At 36.2% G+C, this 6260-nt stretch overlaps 1 pseudogene across 2 annotated transcripts in view; it reads left to right on the top strand.

The window, feature by feature from the left end:
* SLC66A1LP (solute carrier family 66 member 1 like, pseudogene) overlaps positions 1-4964 on the top strand; it is a 57783-nt pseudogene extending 52819 nt beyond the window's left edge. For both annotated transcript variants that reach the window (NR_166162.1, NR_166163.1), the window contains one exon: positions 4063-4964. The product of NR_166162.1 is annotated as a solute carrier family 66 member 1 like, pseudogene, transcript variant 1 (transcript). The remainder of the gene's footprint in view (positions 1-4062) is intronic.
* Positions 4965-6260: the final 1296 nt, after the last annotated feature.

Raw genomic sequence — 6260 nt, forward strand, 5'->3', positions numbered from 1 at the left:
TATTCAAGCAGTTTGTTTTTTTGTTGTTTAGAGCTCAAGGAAATCAAGAAGAAGAGAAGATCCTCTTTAAATTAGAGTTGAAAGCAGAAGGCTCTCCTAGAGGGCCCATGAAATTATTGATATTTAATAAATATTTTTGAATGAAAACAGTAATGGCCATTTCCACAGTTTTTGATAATGCTTGCAGCCAGTGGCATTAGACGAGGTTTCTCAGACATCCATTGTCACTAACTATTCTACAGCCTTGTGACATTTTTTAAATGACTGCCCAGAAAAGGCCCTACCAGGAGAAATTATGATTCAGCAGGTCTGGGATAAGACCTGGCTGTATCTACTTACAAAAAAATTCTAGTGATGACTTTGACATATACTTAGGGCTGAGAAATCACTGACGACATGCAACGTTTTAGACTTTTATAACAGTTCTGAGAGCAAGATTATATTTGATACCAAATAATTTTATACTTTAATCCTTATGATTCTAATTTTAAATGCTTTTTTGGCTTATCTTGGTAAAAGTCATTGCCAATCCAGGATTCATACTAGTGACTTCCAAATGACCACTTCTGGTTTTGGCTGTAAATTAAAGCCTTCTCTTCCTTTTGATTCCTTCAACCTCTAAACAACAAACAAACAAACAACCTGAATAAAAGATATAAAATCTCTTTGCCAAAACAAGTCCTTGCCCAGAACCACCCCAACTAACCCCAATTAAGCCAAAATTCTAAACTCCTTATAAAAATGTAGTAGGTGAGAATATTGTCCATACACTTATGTGTGGAAGAAATGGACATTTATTTTCCTGTAAGTCAATTTCTATTTCAAGCTCCCATTCCAATAGGTGATAAAATCTTAGTTTTAGTCAATAATGAGTATCTTCTACCTATCTCCTAGGGATTGCTGTAAGTTATTGGGAATTTAAATTATAGTAAGTCAAGGAGGTGGGGGTGCACAGGAGGGTGTTCCATCTCATCTGGATTATCATTTTTCCTGTTGGCATCCACTGAAATGTCCTCATTTCCATTTGATCCTTATTGCTATGTCATACCTCACACCCCAGTGCAAGTCTTTGGGTCTCCACTAATTTCCACGCATTTCCAAGACACAAGAGACTGAGCCTGCTCCTCCCACCCTGTCCTGTGCAGGGCTAAACTATGTGGTCACCTCTGGCAAATTTATGTTGACACAAGAGGCAGTCACCTCTACTCTGAGATATTGCTACTCCCCAGGCTTTTCCCAGGAAAGAGAGATGGGTCTCCTCTTTTATCAGGTCTCCAAGGCTCTGTGTGTTTGCAACTGCAGGCTCCCTCTGTTAAGGCCCCCAGCATCTACTCACTCCTTGCTGCTCCTTCCTCTGCTATGGGGAGTATTTCCTAATCTCTGGGGCAGCAAGTCTTGCACTTATACAACCAAGCATCCTCACAGATTTTTCATACTGTTTATGCACAAGCGTCTTTTCAGTTTTCCTTCAAAGGTTAGACTTTTGAAAAATCAGAGAACATGCTTTGATTTTCTCTTTTAGGCACCATCACTTGTTCCCGGACGCAGTAAGGCACTCAGCTGAAAGCGTGTGGATAACACTAAGGAGTAATGGGAATAGAAGGTTAAACCTTCTCTGAAATGCATTTGATTTAGCCTTGGCTGAAATTGTGACCAAAGCTAGAGGATCACAAACTTCAGCACTCAGTTTCATGGCTAATTTTGAAGAATGGGAGACTATTGGCATAGGAATTGGTGAATATGAAGGACTGAGTCAGCCAGAAATTCTTAATATATAATAGTGAAATACAAGAAGATTATTTTAAACACACTAAGAATATAAACAGCAAGATTAGGATGAAGGTCTCTTTTCTTCATGTTTATATTTCTTCTGTTTCTTGTCATAAAATTATTCCCTAACTGGTTTGCAGTAATTTCCTTGGAGAAGTACTGACTTTAAACTTTTATTGTTATCTTCTATGGACTATAAGTTTAATCTTAGAGACATGCTTGCTTGGAATGGGAAATTGCATTTACTCACTGTAAGTTTGTGAAAGGAAATTGAATTTGATAGAATTTTATTGCTGGAAATCAAGTCACTCACCTAAACATGTAATGTACACACCAGCTCTGTGTCCTCTCTAACTTCATTCTGTTATTTTACTCTTACATAAAGGTCTTGACTTCATTTAGTTAAAAAGTATCCAGCCCATCATTTAGCTTTTTCCTTGTAATCGTGTTGGAAAAACTCTGAGATTTAACAGAAATAGTTTTAAAGAACAATATGCATTTAAGTTTTTCTCTACTAGTGAAAAAAAGGAAATACCAAGGACAGGGGGAAAACATTGATTAATACTTCACACTGTTATTCTGCCACAAAAGCTTAAATATCTTTCTAACATGTCTTAGTGGCAAAAACACAACTTCAGAATTGTGCCGTTAATGGGAACATGAAAAAGCCACAGAAAAGCTGAGGAATTAGGACATGGACATAGTCAGTTTCTCAGGTTTAAAGTGCCCAGTTCTGTCTTGGTACTCGGGGTGATACTACTATAGAAGAAACTGGTAAAATCCATTCACATAAATGCATTGGTCATGACCTACTTGTCTCCTCCACTGTTACATAAGATTTATGGAGGCTGAGATTTTGTCTATTTGTTGGATCCCAGGATATCCTATAGAAGCATGGTAGGCAGTCAATTAATATTTGTTAAAATAAAATTTAAAAAAAGAATGAATAGCTTCTCCCAGGAGTCTGGGTAGACTTTCACTCTATATTTTTTAACATGCTGTAGAAAAATGGCAAGTCTTTGTGTGAAGGTGTTAAAGTGGTTGGCATGCCAACATTAACCATGGCTGTCCTTAGAGCAAGAGCCCTTCCCTAGATTCCTGAAACCACACACCTCGTTGGTCTGATACAGGAATTCTATGGAAAGCTCGCTTTGTGTCTGCACATTTTTTAGTAGGTGAGCTGCATCCCTCTGTCTAGTGGGACACACTTGCATATTCACAAATGGGTATTTTCCTGCGAGTAGTTTACGTAGTTTTGTCATATGAATGGTTAGTGAATTATGTGGATGAGGCCTGGAGGAAAAGGAGAAAGAAAACATCCAAACCACTTTCACTTGGCAGTATATCTCCACAAGGTAACACATCTGCCGGGGCTTGAAGAAGGTGGAGACACAGCTGTGTTGGGTCACTGTGAAAGGACATGATTCTACCTTCATGTCTTCATGTCCTTCCTTCCATTACCCTATCATTGCTCCTGAGCCTCTCTGGCCTAATTCTGAACTGACAAGTTTAAAATTTATTCTTTATATTTTTAAATGTTTAAGACGTATGCAAAGAATAAAAGTAACTCTACCCTCCCTTTTCATTGTACTGCAGCTCAGAAACTAGGTAGTAAAGCTTAATGTTTAGGTCAGGAACCAGGGGACACAAGCACACACCTGTACATGTGCATTGTTTCGTGTTTAGTAAAATATTGAAACTAAATTAACACTGATAATTTAAAATGGCCTAAGTGTAAAATTTAACATTCTTTCAAGACTAAGAAGCTGAGCTTCATAATCTTTACTTTTTGTTCTGTTTTGTTTTTTAGTATAAAAGCTAATTACAATTTGGTTTGAACGTTAAAGTTTTTTTTAATGTACTGCATCTACAGCACATTTTAAAATTTATGATGAAAGAACTTTGGTTCATAATCATCATCATATGTTTTTATAATTCATTATAACTTGTTATTCAATTTACTTTTCAATGATCAAAAAGTTTTCATTAGCAGCATGTTGACTACCATAAACATACCTTAAATGTACAAAGTTATCTGGTCTCATCCAGCTCTCGCTGTATCAAGTACATTTTTTAAGTGAGTAGAAGTGCGATGCCAAAAAGTCTTGTTTGTGAACAAGCAAATCTAGTTCACAAAATTTTCATGGAATTTTTCACATGGAATTTTTCACAAAAATTTCATGGAAGATTTTGCAAGTTGGTATTTTGTTTTGGGATGGAAATCAGCATTGTTGAAATTGAAATGTAAATATTGAGTAATATTTTATTTTCGATGTTCCCTTCTTTCCCCAGGATATTCCAACCTCAGTTATTCAAAGACTCCATCACCAGAGAGAAAGTCAGATTGTCACTTTGGGGAGTCCTCTGCCCTGTATATATCCCATATTCTTTCAGATAAGTGAAATTAGCATGCCTGGGTATTACAGTTGTTTATGCCATACTACTATAAATACTTCTAAGAGAAGATTTATCTTGACTTAAGACTTGGAATTTTGTTAAATTAATGCACAAATGTATATGACCATAACTTAACGATGATTTGTATATTAGCTGAGTCAAGTGGCATACATAAAAGCAATGAAGGTTTCTTGGACATTCTACACTGAAATGTTTAGAATGTTTAAAAAATTTATCTTTCTATTTTCCAATAGTGTGGTAAATGTAAAGTGCTTAGCACTTTGCGTGACACATGGTAGGGCCTCAAAAAATATTAGCTATTATCATTATAAACCACAGAGGCCCTGTTATGTGGCAGTTTGTATCTCTCTCTTGACTAATAGAAGCACTTTGCAGATGATATGTCACACAATCTAGAAAGGTAGTGCTTAAAGGAATAGACTTATCTCCTTATTTTACAAATGAGGACATTGAGGCCCTAGGAAGTTAAATGACTTAGACAAAATCACAAAGGTAAAGTGGAAAGCCCAGGAGAAATCCCCTGGCCTTCAGCCTGCTGTGATTTCTACCAACTATAGATTAGAACTTTTCAGACAAGTGGCACCTGCAAGTGTCTTCGAGCAAGGCCTCAACCTCCAGCACAGCTCTTGCCACCTACAAACACCAGGGAAGAGCAAGATTGAGTTACATGGCTTGGAAGAAGAGTGAAACACCTCGCAAGACCCAGAGAAAACTCCACATCCATTTGCAGCTAATTTTAAAGCCCAAATAAAAGCACAATCTTTGGAATCACTCTATCTTTGGTCAGGCAAATGTTTAAAGAGCAATATTATATACATCTAGGGTAAGAACAATTCATTAATTTAGATGAATGAATTGTCAAAAGGTTGTTTTGCCTGTAAATGTGAGTAAATTGAATATCAAGTCATCATGAAATGTAAACACGAGATAATGTTCCTGTTTCATTTTCCTTTTTCCCGAAAACATGGGTAACAGATTTTTACGTCCAGCATTACTTTTGGAAAAAAATTAAAGTATGCAGTGCTTCTTATGAAGAAAGTTATTTCCCTCACTTGATAGGAAATCTGATCCAGAGAAATGAGGGGCTGTGGAGATTATGTCCTGAATCTGGAGTTCATGATGAAAAAATATAAGTCAGTTTAAGTTCTGGATAATTGATAGTCTATTTTTAGATCAACATCTCTTGAGAATATTCTTTAACACCAAGGGAAATTAAAATGAAATATTGTCTTTGCTCTTTTAGAGCTTTTCTTTTCAAGAAAAGAAAGGGGATTTAGAGCTTCTCTTTTCAAAATATGCAATTGGTCCTAACCTGACTCCTCAATTCAGCAGCCTTAAATTGAGATAGAGTCTAGCAGGTGACCAGCAAAGCGTTTCTCTGACATCTCAGGGGTCAGTAACACCGCTAAGGAATTTAGATGTAAAGTTCAGAAAGCTTTGGACAGGGCATGGTTGGAAGAACATGGGAAAGAGGGCTTTTGAGCGTTTTGACTTTTTAATTATCCTTATTTTGAAATTAGAACCACATGGATGGTAGTTTAGAATGATTTACCTTGATTTTTAGATAAGATTTGTTTAAAAACGGAAATCAATTTACTTCTGCTCAACAAACTTCCAAGTGCTTCCATTTGTATAGCAATTTGATTATGAAATAGCATGGGATGAATGAATTCCTAGGTGGAATTTCTTGAAAATAATGGATAAAAACCTCCAACAGTCCACTAATGCCAGGAGATGCTACAATAATTGGTAAATATCTTGTCTGATGCCCTGTAATGACTGAGAGCAAATCACCAAGGTCTTCTGTTAATTTTTGTTTCCCAAACTATTGACAGACAAGAGAATCATATGTTTCCTATTGTTTTCCACATTTTTAAAAACCTTTTTTGTATAATTGTAAAAATAATGATTGTCACAAAAACTAGCAGAATAACTCTGGGATTTTATTTTATATTTTAAGAGACTATCCTAGATTTCCTAGACTCTATCATATTCCAATTTCTGCCACCTACATTATACTTGGGAGGTCTCATTATTGCAAAAATGACTGTTGGGTTTTCTTTGAATTTGGT

This window comes from Homo sapiens, chromosome 3 (assembly GCF_000001405.40).
Source record: "Homo sapiens chromosome 3, GRCh38.p14 Primary Assembly".
In the NCBI taxonomy this organism is placed as follows: domain Eukaryota; kingdom Metazoa; phylum Chordata; class Mammalia; order Primates; family Hominidae; genus Homo; species Homo sapiens.